The sequence below is a fragment of the Homo sapiens genome, chromosome 17 (genome assembly GCF_000001405.40).
Source record: "Homo sapiens chromosome 17, GRCh38.p14 Primary Assembly".
NCBI classification, from domain to species: Eukaryota; Metazoa; Chordata; class Mammalia; order Primates; family Hominidae; genus Homo; species Homo sapiens.
The window spans coordinates 78,261,241-78,283,190 of record NC_000017.11 but is presented as its reverse complement, the minus strand read 5'-3'; the positions used below and the strand labels follow the sequence as shown (position 1 = coordinate 78,283,190).

Here is a 21,950-nt window from a genome sequence, read left to right as displayed (position 1 = left end):
TTTTTTTTATTTTTGAGGCACAGTCTCACTCTGTCACTCAAGCTGGAGTGCAGTGACATGATCTTGGCTCACTGCAACCTCCACCTCCTGGGTTCAAGCAATTCTCATGCCTCAGCCCTCTGGTAGCTGGGATTACAGGTGCTCGCCACCAGGCCCGGCTAATTTTTGTATTAGTAGAGATGGGTTTTTGCCATGTTGGCCAGGCTGGTCTCGAACTCCTGACCTCAAGTGATCCACCCACCTCAGCCTCCCAAAGTGCTGGGATTACAGGTGTGAGCCCACACGCCTGGCCAAATACATTTTTTAGAGTAAGTATCTCTCTCATATTGCATGGGATATACTTACACTAAAAATGTATTTGTTATTTCTCTGAAATTCAAATTTAACTAGGTGTCTTGGTTTTTTGTTTGCTTTTTTACTAAATTTGGCCACCTTTGGCTGGCCTGAAGAACAAGGATGGACCATGGACCTCCAAGCCCATCTGTGAACACTTTTTTTGTTTTGTTCTGTTTTTTTTTTTTTTTGAGACGGAGGCTCGCTCTGTCACCAGGCTGGAGTGCAGTGGCGCAGTCTCAGCTCACTGCAACCTCTGCCTCCTGGGTTCAAGCGATTTTTCTGCCTCAGCCTCCGGAGTAGCCACCACACCCAGCTAATTTTTGTATTTTTAGTGGAGATGGGGTTTCATCATGTTGGCCAGGATGATCTCGATATCTTTTTTTTTTTTTTGAAACGGAGTCTCGCTGTGTCGCCCAGGCTGGAGTGCAGTGTCGCAATCTCGGCTCACTGCAAGCTCCACCTCCCGGGTTCACACCATTCTCCTGCCTCAGCCTCCCGAGTAGCTGGGACTACAGGCATCCATCACCATGCCCGGCTAATTTTTTGTATTTTTTTTTTTTTTTTAGTAGAGACGGGGTTTCACCATGTTAGGCAGGATGGTCTCGATCTCCTGACCTCGTGATCCGCCTGCCTTGGCCTCCCGAAGTGCTGGGATTACAGGTGTGAACCACCGTGCCCGGCCTGATCTCGATACCTTGACCTCATGATCCGTCCGCCTTGGCCTCCCAAAGTGCTGGGATTACAGGAGTGAGCCACTGCTCCCGGCCCACTTTTTTTTTTTTTTTTTTTTGAGACAGGGTCTCACTCACTCTGTCACCCAGGTTACATACAGTACAGTGGTGCAGTCATGGTTCACTACCATCTCAACCTCCTGGGCTCAAGTGATCCTCCCACCTCAGCCTCCCAAGCAGCTGGGACTACAGGTGTTCACCACCATGCCCAGCCACAAGTAAACTCTTACAGTGAAGAACTGCTGGGATCCCAGGGGTTATTTGGAGGCTTAGAGCTAGCCAGGCAGGGCGCTTTTGGTCTCAGGTGGCTGAACTTGTCCCTAAGGCTTTAGGCGAGGTATGGTGGGGAGCTCAGGAGCTGCTGCCACAGCCTTGGCAGGGACCATTGAAGCGCAAAGGCACAACGAGTGGCGCTGACCGGGATTCACACCCACGTGCACGTCAGCCTCACACTATGCTACTAAGTCGGGGGTGGTGCTGCTGATTCACAGCAGGAGAGTAGAAGGAGCTGGTCCTGGGCCACACAGCCAAACAGAGACCTGCGAGAGCTTTAAAGCCCCCAGTCCCTTCCCCTGGGCTGCAGGGTGAGGCCCTGACCAGGTCTGTAGAGGGCAACTGCATTCGGGGCTCCAGAGTGTGCTAACTTGGGAGGCTACACCTTCTGTCCTTAAAAGCTTTACAGAAGGCCTGGCTTCCCGACCTTCGCCCCAGGTACCCGAGAGTGAAAATCAGCCCCAAGTCTTAAAGAGCCAGGGCTTGTTTTGGAGTAAAAACTGCACGATTCAGTTTTGATCGCCCACTTACTCCTAGGCCTAGTAGCAAATGGATTTCAGCTGCTGCCAAAAAAAAAACATCCACCTTCACAGAAGAGCGGCTTTGCCCCTTCCTCCCCCACCAGAAAACCAATAAGAACAGGAGGCAGTGAGGAGAGGTGAACTCCAGGGAACCCCTGGAATAGGCTCAACCCCTAGCGGGGCCTCCACGGGTGAGGACCTCCGTTCCCATGATTGTTACATAAACCTCTAGGCCCCATCACAGCCCCACCTTGTAGTTTCGCTGAGTTTGGGTGGTGGGTTTTGGGGGGTTGCCCTGAAGGAGAACACCACAGACCCCTGGGTCTGCAGAGCACCCAGAAGATGCCCTCCCCCACTCTGTCCCCACTCCCAGCCTCCCCAACACAGGTACCCAGGCACCAAAACACATATAGCTTTTCCTTAATGCAAATTAGATGGAAATATAACAGCATTCCCAAAATACACTGTTGGGGCTCAGAAAATATGGCGCCTTGACAAGAAGGGGCCCCAAGGTCTCTCTGACCTACCTCCAGCCCCATGTCTTCCCAAAGCACAGGATGAGGCTGTTCTCGGACTTTCCTTAACTACCTAGAAACCAGACTGGCCAAGAGGAACACAATTGCCTTCCCTGAAATGTTATTAACCGGAGAAGATTAAAACTCACATCACAAAGGAAGAGGCTGCAATGAACCACCACACCTAGAGCCCAGACCAACTTCCTCCCAAACCATTGTCTGTTCTTTGGTCCTATTTGATTCCCAAAGAGAATTATTCACTAACCATTGTCTGAGCAAGGGGCCCATTCATTTCATTTCCCCCCAAAAATCATTGACTTTGCCTCAAAGAGGTGGTTTCCCACCACCTCTTCTCCCATGAGGAAGGGCATGGCAGGTTCTGGACCCCTCTGGATTACTGGGTAATCACGTCCGGGGAGTCCTGTGCTATGCAGTTACAGTAAATTTTGTGAGCCTTTTCTCCTATGAATCTGCCTTTTGTCCGCTGATTTTTCGGCGAAGCTTCAGAGGGCAAAGGGCAGCTTTCTCTTCCTAACCCAGAATCCGACCACTTCTCAGCCCTTCCACTGCCACCCCTGGCCGCAGCCCCTGGCATCTCCTGCCCGGGGAACTTGGTTCCCTCCGTGCTCTGCCTGTTTCCACCACAACCTCCCCAGGGCACCTGGGTTGATGTTGCAGGGCCCCCTCCCACTACATGGCCCCTGCACAGACCATACTCTTCCCAAGGCCCAGGGCTCCCTGTGCCTGGCTCCAGCCTCCTTATGGTTTCTGGAACATACACCGGTGTGTCCTCCTTGCTCATCCTGACTTGTCACCTGTATCTTTCTCTCCCTACTGGAGCCCTGCAAAGCAGGCATTTTCATCTGCTGGGATATCCCCAGCCCCTGGAACAGCCCAGGCTCATAATAGACACCGAGTTTGCAGAATAAGTGAATGAATGGGAGACTGAAGGAGTGAGCTTGCTTGTACACAACCACCTCTCAGAACACACATGCATCTGTCTGCACCGGTCTGTCATTTTGAATTCTGGGGCAGGGAGGAGTGCCATTGATTTGCTTCATTCATTCGCCTGGTGGTGTGTGTCCCTCCCTTTTGACTATAGCTTACCTGGCATGCACCTTCTTCCTCACTGCCCCAAGGCCTGACCTGGAGTCCGGCCTGCCATAGGCGCCCCTGCATTCCTGCTGATGACCAGAGGGCTTCAGTGGTCTTGCCTGGAGAGAGTGACCAGTTGTGGTTGGGTCTCATTTGCATGTGCTTTGCATAATGCTTTGCATAACCTCCTACAAGCCACATTGAGCAGGGAAGGTGGGGTGCAGAGAGGACTGGCCCTGGGGCCCCCTGAGAGCTGACCCCTGCAGCAGATGTTCTGGGGTTTGGGGCTCCTTGGGGACCAGCTCCACCTGGTGCCAGTCTCCCCAGGCCAGGTTAGGGGTGCAGATCTGGACACAGTGAGGGTGAGGGTACAGGCTTCCCTCGCCAGACGCGGCTTCTCCCTTCCTCTCCCTGGGAAAGGGGAGGCCTCACTGCAAGCCCCAGGAACCTGCCCCAAGGCCCTCCGAAGTTCAGGCCCTGCCTCCCTGCACTGAAGAGGCTGGGGTTGGGGGGCAAGTGTCACCCACGCCTCAGAGTGAGCCCTAGATCTGAGGAGAGACAAGATGGGGAGGAGGGGAAGGGGGTCAGCTCAGAGGGCAGCCCTGCCCACTCTGCCATGTCCCAGCTTTCAGACGTGGCTGAGAGGACATGAGATGCCCCGCTCCCCGGAGCGGGTCACAGAACTCGGGGTAAGTTTCTGGTCTGCCTACCTGGCAGATGCCCCTAGAGAGTGGCCTCCCCAACAGCACCGACCACCCCAGGGCAGGTGGGGAGCAGCGTCCCCCACCCCATGACCCCGGCCAGCCTGGCCACCCTGCTGGGCCACATGGTGCCACAGGTCAGCAGGGGTCTTCAGGCCATGTGAGGAAGGTGTCTGGGCTGGTGGCCAGGCTGGGTGGGAGGGGTGGGGGCAGGTGGAGCTGGGTGGGTGATTGGGTGACCTCGACCCCTCAGCAGGCTGCACCAACCCTGGCTGGAGCTGCCACTGGCCTCAGCTTCCCTTCTCAGCAACTGTGACCTCAAGCAGCTGCTGCACCTGTTGGGTGTGGGTGAGCCCGGCTCTTCTTTCCCTTCCAGGGGAGGAGTCAGCCCAGGAGTCAACTACGAGGTCGGGGAGGGGATTAAGGAGCTGAGAACAGGAGACAGCAGAGGGGACAGGCTGTCTTCAAGCACAGCTGGCACCTGGGGAAAGCCGCCTCCTCCCTCCCACTGCCCCCACCCCCGCTTGTTACTGGAAATGAGGAGAGCCTCCCAGGTCCCAGCAGAGCTGCTGCTGGTAAGTCCCTTCCCCAGCGGCCCCTCCACCCCTCACAGGCCCAGCTGTGCCAGCCCAGCCTGGGCCCTACTCCCGGCTCCTGCTTTAGGTGGTCTCCTGTGGCCTGAGGCCCTGGGGGTGGGCAGGGGTAGGCACCCAGGCCCAGAGGCTCTGCGCCTGTCTCCAGGCTTCCCTGCTGCCTGGGCTCTGTGGTGGGAGGCGGGGTTGCAGGTGAGGGGAGTCCTCCGTAATCAACCCCGGTTTATAGGAATTGGGGCCCCAGTGCCCAGACTCATGGGCCTCCAGGGGAGCAGGTGGGAGGCTCTGCCCAGCCCACCTCCCTCTGAGTATGGATCTGAGGTCACACACACCTGGCTGGAAGTGACTTATCCTGTGAACCTCAGCGTCCTTACCTGTAAAAGGTAACAAAATTCTCTCTTCCTCCAAGTGGCTGAGAAAGGTAGAAAAACAGAGTAAGAGCAGCTGGTCCCAGCCCCGTGAGCACCGGCCGGGACCCCTCGGGTGGGATCCCATCGTACCATCTCTGCCCATGATCCAAGGAGACCATTTCAGAGAGGCTGAACAACATGCCGGGCTCAGGGCACGGGGCAGGCTTTAGTTTTGCCACAGCCAGCCGGCTGGTGAGCAGGGGCGGGGCAGCCGTGGGCCTGGAGAGTGGGGGCGACTTCTTCCTACCCCCTCCCAGAAGGAGAAAGCCCACATTTTTAGGTACCACAGCAGCCCTTTTGGGCAACAGGCTTCCCCTTTTTTTTTTTTTTTGGAGACAGAGTCTTGCCCTGTCGCCCAGGCTGGAGTGCAGTGGTGTGATCTCGGCTGACTGCAACCTCCGCCTCCCAGGTTCAAGCAATTCTCCTGCCTCAGTCTCCCGAGTAGATGGGATTACGCCCACCACCATGCCCGGCTAATTTTTGTATTTTTAGTAGAGACGACAGGGTTCCACCATGTTGGCCAGACTGGTCTGGAACTCCTGACCTCAGATGATCCACCCACCTTGGCCTCCCAAAGTGCTGGGATTACAGGTGTGAGCCACTGTACCCGACCCTCTTTTTTTAAAAAAACCTTTTAAGTTCAGGGGTCCACGTGCAGGTTTGTTATATAGGTAAGCCCGTGACATTGGGGTTTGTTGTACAGATTATTTCAGCACGCAGGTACTAAGTCTAGTACGCATTAGTTATTTTTCCTGATCCTCTTCCTCCTCCCAGCCTCCACCCTCTGATAGGATCCAGGGTCGGCTGGTCTATTCTATGCAGATTCTTAGAAATATCAACTGAGACCGGGTGCGGTGGCTCATTCCTGTAATCCCAGCACTTTGGGAGGCCGAGGTGGGCGGATCACCTGAGGTCAGGAGTTTGAGACCAGCCTGGCCAACATGGCAAAACCCCGTCTCTACTAAAAATAACAAAATTAGCTGGGCATGGTGGCACCTGTAATCCCAGCTACTCAGGAGGCTGAGGCAGGAGAATTGCTTGAACCTGGGAGGCGGAGGTTGCAGTGAGCCGAGATCGCACCACTGCACTCCAGCCTGGGTGACAGAGCAAGACTCCATCTCAAAAAAAAAAAAAAAAAAAAAAAGATAAATACCCCTGATGGAATGCAAGGGGAAAGTTCCGCCCTTAGCCCATCAATCCTGGCAGGTGCTCCACCCTCCCACCTGGGGACCCAGGTGGCAACCGGCAGAGCGAGCTCAGAAACTCCACGTCAAGGTAGCAAAGCAGCATCCGCCTGGGTCCCCTAAGGGAGTAGGGCTGCATAGACCGGGTGCACCCGCCCTGGGCTGTTACAGAAGGAGAAATAAACTTCTCCACAAGCCACAGCTGCTATTGTTGGCTACCGTGCTGCAGCTGCTGAGCTGGTATGTGTCTTTGTGTGACTGGCTGATTTCACTTAGTGTGATGTCTCCAAGGTTCATCCACATGATAGCATAGGTCAGAATTTCCTTCCTTTGTTAAGGCTGAATAATATTCCACAGTATGGATAGACCATAGTTTGTTTATCCATTCATGTATCCATGGACACTAGGGTTGCTTCTATCTTTTGGCTATTGCAAATGAATAATGCTGCTATGAACGCGGGTGAACATATCTCTTTGAGTTCTGCAGCTGCTGAGCCTACCTGAACTAGCGCCAGTTACAAGAAACAGAAACTCACCTCAAACCAGCCGAAGTCAAATGGAGCCTGAAATGCAAACTAAAACCACAAGACGACGCCACTCAATACCTATTAGGACGGCTACTATTTTTTTTAAAAAAAAAACAACAGAAAATAACAAGTGTTGGTGAAGATGTGGAGAAATTGGAATCCTGTGCACTCAATTTTTTTTTTTGAGGTGGAGTCTCACTGTCATCCAGGCTGGAGTGCAGTGGCACTATCTCGGCCCACCACAACCTCCACCTCCTGGATTCAAGCGATTCTCGTGCCTCAGCCTCCTGAGTAGCTGGGATTACAGGCATGCTTCACCATGGCCCGACTAATTTTTATATTTTTAGTAGAGACGGGGTTTCACCATGTTGGCCAGGCCGGTCTCAAACTCCTGACCTCAAGTGATCCACCCGCCATGGCCTCCCAAAGTGCTGGGATTACAGGTGTGAGCCACAGCGCTTGGCCCTGTGCACTCAATTTTGGTGGGAATGGAAAATGGTACAATTGCTGTGGAAAACAGTGTGGTGAGATGCTCCAAAAATTAAACATAGAATTAGCGTATAACCCAGCACTTCCACTCCTGTATCTATCCCCAAAAGAATTAAAAGCAGAGACTCAGAGATATGTTCACCCACGTTCATAGCAGCATTATTCATTTGCAATAGCCAGAAGATAGAAGCAACCCTAGTATCCATGGATGCATGAATGGATAAACAAACTATGGTCTATCCATACGGTGGAATATTATTCAGCCTTAAAAAGGAAGGAAATTCTGACCTATGCTATCACGTGGATGCACCTTGAAGACATCACACTAAATGAAATCAGCCAGTCACACAAAGACACATACCGTGTGATTCCACTCATGTGAGATTGTTAGATTTATAGAGACAGAAAATAGCATGGTGGTTGCCAGGGGTTGGGGTCCAGGGGAATGGGGAGCTAGTGTTAATTAATGGGGACAGTTTCAGTTTGGGAAGATTAGAATGTTCAGGAGCTGGAGAGCAACTGTGCAACAGTGGTAATTACTTAATGCCACTGAACTGTACACTTGAAAATGGTTAAAATGGTAAATTTTGTTATGTGTGTATATATACATATATCTTTACATAAATTATTTGTTTTACATATGGGAAAAAAAAGTTTAAAAAATACACTTTACCAAGGGAAAAAAAACAGGTTAGACAAATATGGGAAAATAATAATAATTGTGGAATCTGGGTGATGTTCTATGGGGATTCATTACACCCTTCTGCCTATTTTTATTTATTTTTACTTATTTATTTTTTTGAGATGGAGTCTCGCTCTGTCGCCCAGGCTGGAGTGCAGTGGCGCTATCTCGGCTCACTGCAAGCTCTGCCTCCTGGGTTCACGCCATTCTCCTGCCTCAGCCTCTCGAGTAGCTGGGACTACAGGCGCCCGCCACCAAACCCGGCTAATTTTTTTTGTATTTTTAGTAGAGATGGGGTTTCACCATGTTAGCCAGGATGGTCTCGATCTCCTGACCTCGTGATCTACCTGCCTCTGCCTCCCAAAGTGCTGGGATTACAGGCGTGAGCCACCGTGCCCGGCCCCTTCTGCCTATTTTTAAAAAAATATTTTCATGGTCCTGGTGCAGTGGCTTACGCCCATAATCCCAGCACTTTAGGAGGCCGAGGTGGGCAGATCACCTGAGTCCAGGAGTTTGAGACCAGCCTAGCCAACATGGCAAAACCCCGTATCTACTAAAAATACAAAAATTAGCTGGGCGTGGTGGCAGAAGCCTGTAGTCCCAGCTACTCGGGGGGGCTGAAGCAAGAGAATTGCTTAAACCCGAGAGGTGGAGGTTGCAGTGAGCTGAGATCACACCACTGCACTTCAGCCAGCCTGGGCGACAGAACAAGACTCGGTCTCAAAAAAAAATTTTTTTTTTCATAATAAAAACTAAAAACAAATAAGGGGAGGATGGAATGATCAGTCCTGCTTCTTCACTCCCTTGTAGTAGAATTATGCATTCACATCCTTGACTTGGGGCATAGCTATGGGACTTGCTTTGATCAGTGGGATGTCAGGGGATATGGAGTGAGTAGACTTGAACTGTGCTTGCACAATGAACTTGCTCTCTTTCACTGCTGAAGTCACCCTGGAAGGAACACGCCTCAGGTAGCTTGCTGGGCCGAGGTTGATAAGAAACATGTGAAGCAAACCTGGACCCAACTCACAGCCCAGACGCCAGCCAGCTAATCCAAGCCTGGATCTGGTGAACCCCCACAGACCCACAGAGATGTGAGCAAAACAAATGCTTATTGTAGAATGCCACCAGGATTGCGGGGCTGCTTGTTACACAGCCTGATTATGGCACTCACTAACTGATATAGGGAGTTTCTCAGGAAACCCAAGAGAAGCCACTAGTCAGTATTGTGACTGACAGTGGCACTCTGGTTAACCTATGCAGAAAAGGAATTCAGTGGGGGTAACCGTTAGCATAGAATGGGCTGCATAGGGTATCGAGGCTGGATACTCACTGCATGCTGTGACACAGTGCTGTCTGGCTCTACCACAACCCTTGGGAACAATCCTAAATTACTCTTTTTTTATTTTTTATTTTTTTTTGAGACAGAGTCTTGCTGTGTCGCCCAGGCTGGAGTGCAGTGACCTGATCTTGGCTCACTGCAACCTCCACCTCCCAGGTTCAAGCGATTCTCCTGTCTCAGCCTCCCGAGTAGCTGGGATTATAGGTGTGCACCACCACACCTGACTAATTTTTGCATTTTTAGTAGACACAGGGTTTCACCATATTGGCCAGGCTTGTCTCAAACTCCTGGTCTCCAGTGATCCACCTGCCTCGGCCTCCCAAAATGCTGGGGTTACAGGCGCAAGCCACCACACCTGGCCCCTAAATTACTCTTGAACTTGGCATCTCATCTTCACGATTAAACATTCAGGTGGAAGCATTTAATGTAATCATTTTGGTCACATTCCCAGGAGTCAGTTTTCAGAGCCTGGGAAAGGGAGCAGGGACCCCCAGGACCCTACCTCCAACGTAGAAAGGGTATTTGGACACCAGGCAACCAAAAGGGCAAATGGCTACCACTGGCAGGAATGCAGGAGGGGCTGAAGACAGGTGTGAGCTCTCGGCAGGAGTTGGGGGGCCTGATCCTACCTCCTGCTGTTCCCCCATGTCCCCTCTGTTTTGAACTCAGAGCTTCGGACAAGAGCCCCCTCCTGCTGTCTGAAGGGCACCAGTGTGGCTGCCCGCTGCTCCCAGGTTCCACGTGCCTAGCTTCAGCCACCTGGAGGGAGACTGATTCCTCTTCCTCATTCCAGTTCTCATTTCTGGAGCCAAGTGAACGCCATTCGGAGAAATGTCCCTCGGCTTCCACTGTCTCCAGGCAAAGGGTAGGAAGGAGTGGTTCCCAGAGGCCGAGATGAGGACTCAGATGAAGCCACAGGTGTCTGCAGCTGTGTGGAGCTCTGGCAGATGCAGGCGGAGACTTGCCTCTGACATAGGGAGTTGTTGACGTCCCAGCTAAGTCAGCTGAGAACAGAAAGCCAGTGACGCAAACAACTCCAACCCACGGGACGGCTCGGGGGCTGGGGTGAGGCATGCAGAGTACACCTGACTGATCCCAGTGCAACTCACAGGGCGGCTGGAGGGTTATCCCAGCCCAACTCTAGGACAGCTGGAGGGCTGGGGAAAGGCATGCAGAGTATGCCAACCAATCCCAGCCCTGGACAGAGAGGCATGGAGAGGGCTATTGTGATACCCAACCTTGTTTTAACCTGAATTGACTCTCCCTTAGCTGAGAGAGCCAGACAGACTCCATCTTGGCTCCTTCACTTACAGCCCCTTACCCACCCCCTTCCTCAAGGACTTAACTTGTGCAAGCAGACTGCCAGCACATCCAAGGATGCAATTAACTGATAAGATACTGTGGCAAGTTATATCCGCAGTTCCTAGGAATTCGCCCGGTTGATAGCACCCAGAGTCCCCGCGTTTGTATCCGGTTGATAACACTCAAAGCCCCGCGTCTATCACCTTGTAATACATTTAAAGCCCCTGCACCTGGAACTGTTTGCTTTCCCGTAACCATTTATCCTTTTAACTTTTTTGTCTGCTTTGCTTCTGTAAGATTGTTTTAACTAGACTCCCCCCACCGCCCCTTTCTAAAACAAAGTATAAAAGAAAATCTAGCCCCTTCTTTGGGGTGGAGAGAATTTTGAGCACTAGCCTGAATTCGTCTCAGAGAGTGGCGTTTCTCTACAACTCGCTTGATCACAACTCTGTGAGGGAGGCAGATAGAGGAAGGAACACCCACGCCCCCAACTGCACTGTCCCCCACCCCCATGTTCTGCAGGTGCCTCCCACTGTGGGCTCCACAGAGGCAGAGGATGAGGGAGCCACTGATACCTCCCTGTAAGGCAGCCTCCCTGAGCGAGCAGGAGCAGGTCAGGGGTGAGTGTGGAATGATGACAGCCCAGGGCATCCTAGGCCCCCGGGGCAAGAGCAAGCTCCCTGTGCTTCCTGACCCCCGCCTCATTTGCAGATACATGTGCTCATGTCGGGAGATACCTGGAGTCATCTCAACTCCTGTCCCCCATTCCGCAGGTCCACAAGTCACCAGGTTCCATTCCCCTTCCCCTCCACATATCTCAGAGCTGTCACAGACTCTCCATGCCCCATTTCAGGGGTCTTGGCCCAGGCCTTGTCATGCCTTATCTGGACCAAGAGCAATGGTCCCCAACCAGCTCCACCCAGGTACCCCCTGCCCCGCCCATGTCCCCCACAGTTGCACCATGCCTGCTGGCACCTGCCCTCTCTTCACTGGTGCTCCAGCAGCTGCAGAGGCAGGGCTGAACCCTGGGCCCGCTCTCAGGGCCCCCACCTCCTGCTCATCCTCCACATGGCCCAAGCCCTTCATGACTGTTTGCCTCTTGCCCACATCTTCCATGTTGACGTCGCCTGGGACTGGAGGATGCATCAGAGCACGGATCCTTGAGCCAGCTTAAAAACGGTGTGTGAGGCCGGGCACGGTGGCTCACGCCTGTAATCCCAGCACTTTGGGAGGCCGAGGTGAGTGGATCACCTGAGGTCAGGAGCTTAAGACCAGCCTGGCCAACATGGTGAAATCCCATCTCTACTAAAAATACAAAAATTAGCCAGGTGTGGTGGCACATGCCTGTAATCCCAGCTACTCGGGAGGCTAAGGCAGGAGAATCGCTTGAACCTGGGAGGCAGAGGTTGCAGTGAGCCAAGATTGCGCCATTGCACTCCAGCCTGGGCAACTGAGAGAGATTCTATCTCAAAAAAACAAACAAACAAACCCGATGTGTGAGTCTAACTTTGCCACTCAGCTTCCTCACATTCATTTCCTTCATTCACTCATTCATTCAATCAACAAAGCTTTATCTGTGCCAGGTTCTGCCCTGAGGCTCTGCAGACCCAGCTGGGGAACAAGCCCACCCCCTGTCTTCACAGGGTCTACAGGAGTTAGTGCATGCAGTGTGCTTAGGACAGGGCCTGCTGGAGGAATGTTTACTACTACTATTAATGACTGGTACCCGGGGCTAGTGATCCAGCATTTCCTGCCTAGCGCCTTGTCCATTCCATGAGAACCGGCCCTCCTCAGCCTCACCAGGGACATCGACATGTCTGACCCCCTGCAGCCTGCAGGCAAGAACGCTTTCGTCTTTTCCTGTCACTCCCTAGTTCCCGAAAAGGGGCTGGGGCTCAGGCGGTGGGGTGGGCTGGACTGAAGGAGCCCAGGACCAGAGTCTATCCTGCAAGGGAACTGCTCCCAAGACTGAGCCACACCCACCCCCACTCCTGGAGAGGCCCCCATCTTGCCTCTTAGAAGACAGAGCAGAGTTGAGTCTAAGGGGTGCTGCCCCCCCTCCCCATACCAGAAATCAGGACAGAACCACAGCAGGGTGCCAAGTTGGGGCTCAGCTCCCCCACTTCCTCCTGAGCAGGAGAGAGCAGGTACTAGGCAAAGGCCGAGCCCCTGGTCCCGCTGAGCAGCCATGGGTGTGAATTGAATGTCTGGTGCGGCCCCAGCCGGCAAACGGGCCCCACGCAGGCTTCCATCCTCCATCATCTGCAGCAAAGCGTTTCCAGTCAATAAGCTGGCTAATTAATTCTCTTCAAAGACCTCTCAATTATTCATCCTGGGCTACAGAGAGAACAATTACAGCATCTCCTTGCTCACTCTGGCTGCAGAAGTGAGGCTGGGCCTGGGCCACGGAGCCCCCTGAGCCCCTGCAGCCTGGGGTGTCCCCAGGGGCCCCTCCACCTGGCAGAGGCAGCAGGACAGAACCTTCTAGGGGGATCCTCTTCCCCAAGCTTGGAAGCAGCCCAGATCATTATCCCCACTTCTCAGGGGGAGGACACGGAGACCCTGAGCAGGCAGCGACTTCTGGAGTTCAACAGCCCCCTAGGGCAGACCTGTGGATGCAAAGCCGGGCTCCAGGTACGCAGTGCCCTTGGGGGCCGCCAGGTGCTGGCAGCAGGGCCACGGGGACCTGGGACTGAGCCCTCTCTGCCTCCAGGAAAAAGGTTTGTGCCGGGAGGGGAGAGGAGGAAGAGGGGATCGGCTAACAGGGTAGCAGCTGCAGCCAGGCCGGGAAGGGTCTCGTGTCCCAGCGACTGCGGGCAGGGGGTCACTCTAGAAGGGGTGAGCTGCGCTGTGGGCCCCAGCTAGGCCTCCTCTGTGCCAAGGGGGCCCCTAGGTCAGAGCTAGCTTCACTGCTCCGCTCCAGCTTCCTGGAGTTGCTCAAGTCACTCGCTGGGGCCTTCAAGGACAGGGCAGCTTGTCTTGCCCCCGTCCACCCTCTCCTCTCCAGCCTGGGGCCCGCATTGCCGGCTCTCACTCCCGTCTCCCCCAAACAACAGACACCAGCATGCGCAGGGTTAACTCCCCGAGGCTCCAAGACCGCGCAGAGTGGGGGGTGGGGGGCCGGGCGTGCCTGTCGGGAAGTATGGATTTCTGCAGTGGTTTTACTGGAAAAGCTGTAGCTGAAGGTGGGAGGGGGTCACCATGGCAACTTCTGGCTGTGGGAACAGGTTGGCTAGTGGGAACCCATTGTTCCAGGGGCCCAAGGGGGCCCAGCAGGCCCTGGGGGACCCCACACTTGCCTCCGAGGGGTCCTCACCCACTCGGAGAGCTACGGAGACCCTCCTCAATCTGGAATTACCAACCTCCCCGCCTCCCTTCCCGTCCTCCCTCCTGTAACATCTCCCCTGGGCTGGGCCCCTGACTCAGCTGCCCTGCCCCCCACTGAAGTGCCCCTCGCACCCGAGCTGTTAATCGAAGCGCCAATTACCAGGCGGAGGCCCAGGAGGTCCAGGGAATCTCCCTCTTGGAAGAGCTTTTCCTGTGGAGCGAGCCTGACTTCAAAGCCTGGGGTGAATTCAGGGATGCCATAAACGAAGCTCCCCGACCCCAACACAACTCAACGGAGGGAGCCCAGGATTCTGGCGGCAGGGGGTGGGCAGGGTGGGCAAGAGCTCACCCCAACCCTGCCCCAATAGGGAAGATTCCAATCAAAGCAACAAATTCTAGGAAGTCCTCCCCACCCCACCACAAACCTGCACAGCCCTCCCTGCAAGGGAAATCAGGGTAAGGGGAGGCGGCCCGGAAGGGACAGGAGGTTCCCGGGTGCCCCTCCAAATCCCAATGCCCCCCTGTCTGCTCTCTGCCCGGGAAGACTCAGTGGCTGGGATCAGCCCTGCCCAGCGTCCCACAACACTGCGAGTGCCCTGGACTAAACCTCCCGTAGGGACCCCCTGCAATGCCTTGCTGAAGCCTCCGAAGCTGATTCAGCCCCGGCCCCGGAGGGCCTACTGGGTGCAGGGTGCACGGGATCGGGGATCAGGCCAAGGGAACGCGGGGCACTTGAGAGCAGACACGGCGGGCTCCTAGACCCTTCAGGCTCAGGTTCCTCCCAGGTCCTGCAGGGCTCCCGGCTGGCCTTGGGGCCCTCCTGCAAACCCGGGAAGCGCAGAGTGGGGGGCTGGGAGGGTCCCGGAGGATGTGTGTGTGTGTGGCCCGAAGGCACTTCCAGGAATCTCCAGTGGCACTGCCCAAAAGGCCCTGGCCAGGCAGGGATGGTTGCGGGGCAGTGAGGGGAGCCACGCCCCCTGCTGTTTTTCCTTTCTTTTGGGATGCTGCCCCAAAAGAAAGACCACCCGCCCGCCCCCCACCTGGGCACCTCCCTGCTCTGCTGGAGGTCCTCAGATCTGTGACTCGTCTCACTCTGGTTTCCTCGTCTAAAAATGGGCCCGATAAGCCCACTTCCAGGGGGTGGTGGACGCCGAATGAGATCAGGTGATACGCGGGAAGTTAATAGGTGACGGATTCCAAGGTCACGCTGCTTCCTCCTCCTTCACCCCCACCAGAAAAGGGCAATGGCCCTCCTTAAGTCCTGGGTTGCTGCTGAGAGATGCGGCTCCCTACCTTCCCTCCAGTCCACCAGGGTCCTGCGGGGCAGGGGAGACATCGGCATAGGCCAGAACCCAGAAAGGCGCGGTAGGCCTACCCAGGCCAAACACCCAGGTGCGATTTTGCAGCATTGGGCAGGGCCTGAAAGAGTTAACTTGACCATCGTTAACCAGGGTCTTTCCTTCCTCTGGGTCATCCAGCTGATTTGGAGGACACTCCAACTTCTGGGGCCTCCCTGTGCTCCCATAATATCCCTGCCCTGCCCCCGCACCCACTGCCTGCACACTCGGATCTGCCGAATCCCGATAAAACATTTGGGGGAGATAAGTGCTGCATATTAATAATTAAGACCACATGCATATTCGCCAACAAAAGAAAAGTTTCAAACCCCCATTCCGGGAACAGCTGCCCGTGTGGGGCCCGGCAGGGCTGTGGAGGCCCACCCCACAGACTCTCTCTTCTAGGAGGACCAGCCAGGGGCTCCTCTCCAAGCCAGTGCCTCCCCCAGCACCAGGGGGCCTGGCCTCCAGAGTGGGCAGGGGGAGTGTGTCAGGGGCGCTGAGCCCAGAGTGGAATGGGGAACGCCAGCACCACCGTGGAGTGGTCCTCACACACCCACAGAGCCCAAACCACCAGGCAGGGTCCCCCAACCCCAACACCAGGCAGGCTCTAGCCACCCTGTCGGTTCCCAATAAGCCATTTATTGAATAAAGATTGAATCCAAAACTCCAGGTTCCAGGGGAGTGTGATTCCTGAGCTCTGGCTGAGGGTAGCCGGGCCGGAAGAACACCCAGAGGGAGTAGCTATCCTCCATGCCCTTCTCCTCTGCAGCACGGGTTGGCGCAAGCTCACCCTGGGCTAAAGGAAGGCTTGCCCTGCCATGCCCCTGCTCAAGGACCTGCCAGGGCTCCCTATGGGCGTTAGTATCTGATCCCATCCCTCTGCCTGGCTTTCAAGGTCCTCTGTCCCACGGGGCCATCCCCGGAGGTCAGACAGGCCTCCTGCTCACACCATGCTCCATGCCCTCCCTGGAGCTGTTCTGTACTGGCCTCCCCACAACTCCCCACCACCCCCACCCTGCCTGGTCATCCCACTAGGTTCACGTCTCGCCTTTAGAAGCAAGCCCCTCTCCACCCTCTGCTATCCGTTTCCTCATCCACGTTTCTCCAGTTATTTCCTGAATGCTCATTATGCCCTAAGCCCCCTGCTAGGGATCCTGAGAATGAAAGACTCAGGTCTTGCCCTCCATGAGCCTGAAACCCAGTGAGGGACGCTGGCCGACGACAAAGGCAACTGTGAGATAAGCCAGGTGCCAAGGAAAAAGGGAGAAGAGGGTGTGTGTCTTGGCAGAGGGGTAGGGCTATCATGCAAGGCTTCCTGGAGGAAGAGAGAGGCTGAAAAACAGCTGGAATTCTTCCAAGTGCAGAAGAGGAGGAGGCTGGACAGTGCCTGGAGGCCCTGCCAGCACTGCCCCTGGCTGACTCCACACACACCTGGGAGGACCAGCCAGGGGCTCCTCCCCAAGCTAGTGCCTCCCCACAGCCAGGGTGGGTCCTACAGGGAGGCAGAGACCTTAGCGGCGCGGGTTCCAATCCTGGCTTTACTGCTCACCACCAAGGTTCCCTTCCTCCCTAATCTGTTTCCTCCCCAGCAAAATGGGATCATGGTCCCAGGCGTCCATTCGAGGTCCTCTCCCCTTGGCAGGAGACGAAGGACACTGAACCCAGCACTCAGCATGGGCTGGCAAACCTAATCAGTGCCCATGGATTATGTTTGCCATCCACTGACTGGTGGACGGATTGAGGACCTTGGAGTTATCTTCCTGAATCTTCCCTCCTTGATGGCAACTCACCTCCGCTCACCAAGGGGTCCAGGAAGGCACCTGACTCTCAGGACCGCTGGCGTCTTGTATGTGTCAATCACCCAACAGACCAGGAATGCATGGCAGTACACACCGCCTCTGCTCCTGCCAGGGCCCTGGCAGGAGCGTGACAAATATTTGTTGTGGAATTAGGTTCTTAAGCGATGACGCTCTGCCCAGGGATCCCAGGGCAGCTCGGCAAGTGGGCGTGCCTCAGCAGGTGCCAGTTGTCCTTCTGTTCCCAGGAAGGGGCTCTTGGGTTCCTAATCAGACGGCACATGGCCGGGAGCAGTGGCTCACGCCTGTAATCCCAGCACTTTGGGAGGCCGAGGCGGGCGGATCACCTGAGGTCAGGAGTTCGAGAGGAACCTGTCCAACATAGAGAAACCCCATCTCTACTGAAAATACAAAATTAGCCAGGCGTGGTGGTGTGTGGCTGTAATTCCAGCTACTCGAGACGCTGAGGCAGGAGAATCACTTCCACCCAGGAGGCAGAGGCTGCAGTGAGCCAACATTGCGCTATCGCACTCCAGCCTGGGCAACAAGAGCAAAACTCTGTCTCAGAAAACAAAACAAAACAAAACAAAACAGAAGACCCAGCCAGGGTCTTGTCTCTGCTTCCAGCGGGGGCAAGCGCTCACCACAGAGAGGCCTGAACCCCATGCGTGCCTACATCACCTCTCGGTCTCCAGGCCCGCCCATGCTACTCATTAAACTAGGCCTTTCTGTTGCAGCCTGTCCTGCAGGTCCCCAAATGTGGGACCTTCCTTCATCCTGCCATCCTAGACCTTGGAATCAGCAGGTGGGTGGCCAAGGACAGAAATTATAAGACCTAGAGCCAGATGCGGTGGCACACGCCTACCGTCCCAGCTACCCTAGAGGCTGAGGCAGGAGGATCTCTTGAGCCCAGGAGTTCGAGGATGCAGTGAGCTTTAGCTTGGGTTACAAAGCAAGACTCCATCTCCAAAAAAATAAATAAATAAATAAAAAGTAATTAAAGAAACAATAAGACCTAGGAGAAAGTGACCTTCAAACCTTCACACTATTTTGATCGTGCACCCTTACCAACAAAAATGATATATGCATAGTTATTTTTAGATTACAAGTTTCCATGACCGCATGAATACATTACTTGCATTATAAAACATTCACGAAAGATAGGCATTTAAAAAGAGCGAGATTTAAATGCTAAGTATAACATTCTCCTCCCTGCCCCAGGGGGGTCATCCTGCATATCCCATTCTAGAGGCCAATGTCAGCAGGACAGCCCTCCCTTCCCCAGCTAGGATGGAGCCCCTCCCCTATGATCCATCCCCCAGCCTCAAGTTCCAACCTTCCTTCTTCCCAAAGACCCCTGCAAACTCTGCCACTATGAAGACCATACTTTTCCTCGTTTCCTGATCCCAGATGTTTTTTTTTTTTTTTTTTTTTGAGACAGAGTCTCGCTCTGTCACCCAGGCTGGAGTGCAGTGGTGAGATCTCGGCTCACTGCAAGCTCTGCCTCCCGGGTTCACGCCATTCTCCTGCCTCAGCCTTCTGAGTAGCTGGGACTACAGGCGCCTGCCACCACGCCCGGCTAATTTTTTGTATTTTTAGTAGAGACAGGGTTTCACCATGTTAGCCAGGGTGGTCTCGAACTCCTGACCTCAAGTGATCCGCCTGCCTCGGCCTCCCAAAGTGCTGGAATTACAGGTGTGAGCCACCATGCCGGGTCTGTCTCAGTTGTTCTATCATCAGCTGGGGAGCCATGCCTGGGGTGCCCAGGGTGCCTCTAACAAGGGCCATCTCTCATCCTCTGCAGGGCCAGCCTGGGAGAGAAATTCATCTGGCTTATGGCACAGGGACAGAAGCAGGCCGGCTGAGGACAAGGTAACAGAAGGGCTAGGGCTTTTAGAAGACAAAGCTTCCTTCACGGATGCAGAAGGAGAATGCTGTTTCTCTGCGCTGGGCAACCTGGGTTTGAATCCCATCTCTGGGATAAGTGTGCAGGGCGCACAGCAGGTGTTCGGCACACAGAGCCCTTACTGAAGATACTGCTCAACAAGGCAGGGTCTGCCTGGCGCTGGCTTCAGGCCCTTGGCAGGGGCTGGGCAGCCACTCTTGCCCATGCCCTGGTGGCCCCGAGATGCCAGCACTCCTCTGGGTGGTTGGGGAACCCACCCAGGGTGGAGGAGGTGGGCAAGGCCTGGGATTCCACATCTCCAGGGCAGCAGACCCCACGGTCTCCAGGGATCTTGTCTGTGCCCAAACTCCTGAGACTTCCCTGTCCTTTCCCACAAGGGCCCTGGCTCTGGTGGCTGCAGAAGTGGGAGGAGGGGATGTGGGGGAGTCTGGGGAAGGCCACCTTCCATGACGCTCTGCCAAGCCAGGAGGAGCGAAGGAATAACCTGGTCCCCGTGCTGGACCCTGGACTCCAGGAAGCAGAGCCCACAGCCGGCTCAGCCTTGGGTCCCCTGCCTCTGTGGAGCTGGCCCTACCCCAGATGGCCACTGTGCCTGAGGCCCGGCATCTGACCCTCTGTCCTCCCTGCCGAGGGGCCAGAACAGAGGCCCCGGCAACAGGCAAGGCGCAGTGCACGGAGCTGACCCCGTGCCTCGGTCCAGGCCTAGCAACAGGAAGTGAGAGGCCAATGCCGGTAAACGAGATCCGAAAGATTAGAGGCCTCGCTGCCGCCCCAAGTTAGAGGACAAGTTCCTGGAAGGAGGAGGAAGCTGCCGCAGTAAATAACGCCAGACCCCAGCGTCCCAGCTGTCAGCAGCCAGTGCGGCCGCAGGCTGGTAGGCCCAGGAGGGAGCAGGTGGGGGCAGAAGGCACAAGGGGGTGCCCTGGTCTCAGCCCAAGCTGGGGACACCTGGAAGGCAGTAGAGGGGTTCCTGAGGGTCCCCCCAGCCCAATCCCTAAGTCCCCATTCCCCTGTCCACACACACCACAGCTTGCAACCGTATCTAAAGACAGAAGCGGGGCCGGGTGCAGCGGCTCACACCTGTCATCCCAGCACTTTGAAAGGCCAAGGCGGGTGGATTACTTGAGAGCAGGAGTTCAAGACCAGCCTGGCCAACATGGTGAAATCCCCTCTCTATTAAACACAAAAATTAGCTGCGTGTGGTGGTCGGTGCCTGTAATCTCAGCTACTGGGGAGGCTGAGGCAGAGAATCGCTTGAACCTGGGAGGTGGAGGTTGCAGTGAGCTGAGATCGCACCACTGTACTCCAGCCTGGGCAACAGAGCATGACTCCATCTCAAAAAAAAAAAAAAAAAAAAAGAAGAAGAAAAAGAAAGAAAAGAAAAAGAAAAGCCAGCCAGCTGCAGTGGCTCATGCCTGTAATCCCAGCACTTTGGGAGGCCAAGTTGGGAGGACTGCTTGAGGACAAGAGTTTGAGACCAGCCTGGACAACATAGCAAGACCTCATGTCTGCAAATAAAATAAAATAGCCAGGCATGGTGGTATGTCCCTGCTACTCTGGAGGCTGAGGCCGGAGGACTGCTTGAGCCCAGGAGGTTGAGGCTACAGTGAGCTATGATCATACCACTGCACTCCAACCTGAGCAAAAGAGTCAGACCTTGTCTCAAACAATAACAACAAAAAAAGACAAACCACAGCACGGGGGAAATTTTTTTTTTTTTTTTTTTTTTTGACAGAGTCTCACTCTGTCACCCAGGCTGGAGTGCAGTAGCTCGATGTCAGCTCACTGCAGCCTCCACCTCCTGGGTTCAAGCAATTCTCCTGCCTCAGCCTCCCCAGTAGCTGGGATTACAGGCATGTGCCACCACGCCTGGCTAATTTCTGTATTTTGAGTAGAGACAGGGTTTCACCACGTTGGCCAGGCTGGTATCGAACTCCTGACCTCCAGTGATCCCCGTCCCTTGGCCTCCCAAAGTGCTGGGATTATAGGCGAGAGCCACCGCAGCTGTACTGTGGGGAAATTTTTTTTTTTTTTTTTTTGAGATGGAGTCTCGCACTGTTGCCCGGGCTGGAGCGCAATGGCTCGATCTCTGCTCACTGCAACCTCTGACTCTTGGGTTCATGTGATTCTCCTGCCTCAGTCTCCCAAGTAGCTGGGATTACAGGCACATACCACCATACCCAGATAATCTTTTGTATTTTTGGTAGATATGGGGTTTCACTATGTTGACCAGACTGGTCTCGAACTGCTGACCTTGTGATCCGCCCGCCTTGGACTCTCAAAGTGCTGGGATTGAAGGCATGAGCCACTGCACCCAGCCCTGGGGTGAAATCTTTGCAACGCACAGAACCCGCAAGGATCAGTATGCTTGCACATACCAACCAGCCTGACCAGTCAATGAGAAAAGACCAGAACATGCTCTTCACAAAGAGGAATTCAAACGGCTAAAACATAAGAAAAGGGGCTGGGCGCGGTGGCTCACGCCTGTAATCCCAGCACTTTGGGAGGCCAAGACGGGTGTATCACGAGGTCAGGAGATCGAGACCATCCTGGCTAACACGGTGAAACCCCGTCTCTACTAAAAATACAAGAAAAATTAGCCGGGCATGGTGGCGGGCGCCTGTGGTCCCAGCTACTCGGGAGGCTGAGGCAGGAGAATGGTGTGAACTTGGGAGGCGGAGCTTGCAGTGAGCCGAGATCGCGCCACTGCACTCCAGCCTGGGCGATAGAGCGAGACTCCGTCTCAAAAAATAAATAAATAAATAAATAAATAATAAAAGGTACTCTCCTTTAGCAGTTAACAGAAAGAGCAGGGCCCAGTGTGGTGGCTCATGCCTATAATCCCAGCACCTTGGGAGGCTGATGGGGGTGGATTGCTTA

General features: G+C 54.6%; 1 long non-coding RNA gene across 1 annotated transcript, besides 8 other annotated features; it reads left to right on the top strand.

The window, feature by feature from the left end:
• Positions 4,166 to 4,999: an enhancer, noted in NCBI's record as "H3K27ac-H3K4me1 hESC enhancer chr17:76274273-76275106 (GRCh37/hg19 assembly coordinates)". NCBI's record gives its function as "activates a minimal SCP1, AML or CMV promoter by ChIP-STARR-seq in naive H9 embryonic stem cells {active_cell/tissue: H9 hESC(naive)}" and the evidence as "EXISTENCE:reporter gene assay evidence [ECO:0000049][PMID:30033119]".
• Positions 4,699 to 21,842, top strand: LINC01993 (long intergenic non-protein coding RNA 1993). Its single transcript, NR_073178.1, has 7 exons — positions 4,699 to 4,747; positions 11,224 to 11,939; positions 12,345 to 12,539; positions 13,246 to 13,421; positions 16,958 to 17,214; positions 18,969 to 19,944; positions 21,278 to 21,842. It is a non-coding gene; the product is annotated as a long intergenic non-protein coding RNA 1993 (long non-coding RNA).
• Positions 5,000 to 5,833: an enhancer, noted in NCBI's record as "H3K27ac-H3K4me1 hESC enhancer chr17:76273439-76274272 (GRCh37/hg19 assembly coordinates)". NCBI's record gives its function as "activates a minimal SCP1, AML or CMV promoter by ChIP-STARR-seq in naive H9 embryonic stem cells {active_cell/tissue: H9 hESC(naive)}" and the evidence as "EXISTENCE:reporter gene assay evidence [ECO:0000049][PMID:30033119]".
• Positions 6,395 to 6,444: an enhancer, noted in NCBI's record as "active region_12888". NCBI's record gives its function as "activates an Ori minimal core promoter by ATAC-STARR-seq in GM12878 lymphoblastoid cells {active_cell/tissue: GM12878}" and the evidence as "EXISTENCE:reporter gene assay evidence [ECO:0000049][PMID:35858748]".
• Positions 6,675 to 6,944: an enhancer, noted in NCBI's record as "active region_12887". NCBI's record gives its function as "activates an Ori minimal core promoter by ATAC-STARR-seq in GM12878 lymphoblastoid cells {active_cell/tissue: GM12878}" and the evidence as "EXISTENCE:reporter gene assay evidence [ECO:0000049][PMID:35858748]".
• Positions 10,270 to 10,959: an enhancer, noted in NCBI's record as "H3K4me1 hESC enhancer chr17:76268313-76269002 (GRCh37/hg19 assembly coordinates)". NCBI's record gives its function as "activates a minimal SCP1, AML or CMV promoter by ChIP-STARR-seq in primed H9 embryonic stem cells {active_cell/tissue: H9 hESC(primed)}" and the evidence as "EXISTENCE:reporter gene assay evidence [ECO:0000049][PMID:30033119]".
• Positions 12,327 to 13,051: an enhancer, noted in NCBI's record as "H3K27ac-H3K4me1 hESC enhancer chr17:76266221-76266945 (GRCh37/hg19 assembly coordinates)". NCBI's record gives its function as "activates a minimal SCP1, AML or CMV promoter by ChIP-STARR-seq in naive H9 embryonic stem cells {active_cell/tissue: H9 hESC(naive)}" and the evidence as "EXISTENCE:reporter gene assay evidence [ECO:0000049][PMID:30033119]".
• Positions 14,502 to 15,227: an enhancer, noted in NCBI's record as "H3K27ac-H3K4me1 hESC enhancer chr17:76264045-76264770 (GRCh37/hg19 assembly coordinates)". NCBI's record gives its function as "activates a minimal SCP1, AML or CMV promoter by ChIP-STARR-seq in primed H9 embryonic stem cells {active_cell/tissue: H9 hESC(primed)}" and the evidence as "EXISTENCE:reporter gene assay evidence [ECO:0000049][PMID:30033119]".
• Positions 15,228 to 15,951: an enhancer, noted in NCBI's record as "H3K27ac-H3K4me1 hESC enhancer chr17:76263321-76264044 (GRCh37/hg19 assembly coordinates)". NCBI's record gives its function as "activates a minimal SCP1, AML or CMV promoter by ChIP-STARR-seq in primed H9 embryonic stem cells {active_cell/tissue: H9 hESC(primed)}" and the evidence as "EXISTENCE:reporter gene assay evidence [ECO:0000049][PMID:30033119]".
• Positions 21,843 to 21,950: the final 108 nt, after the last annotated feature.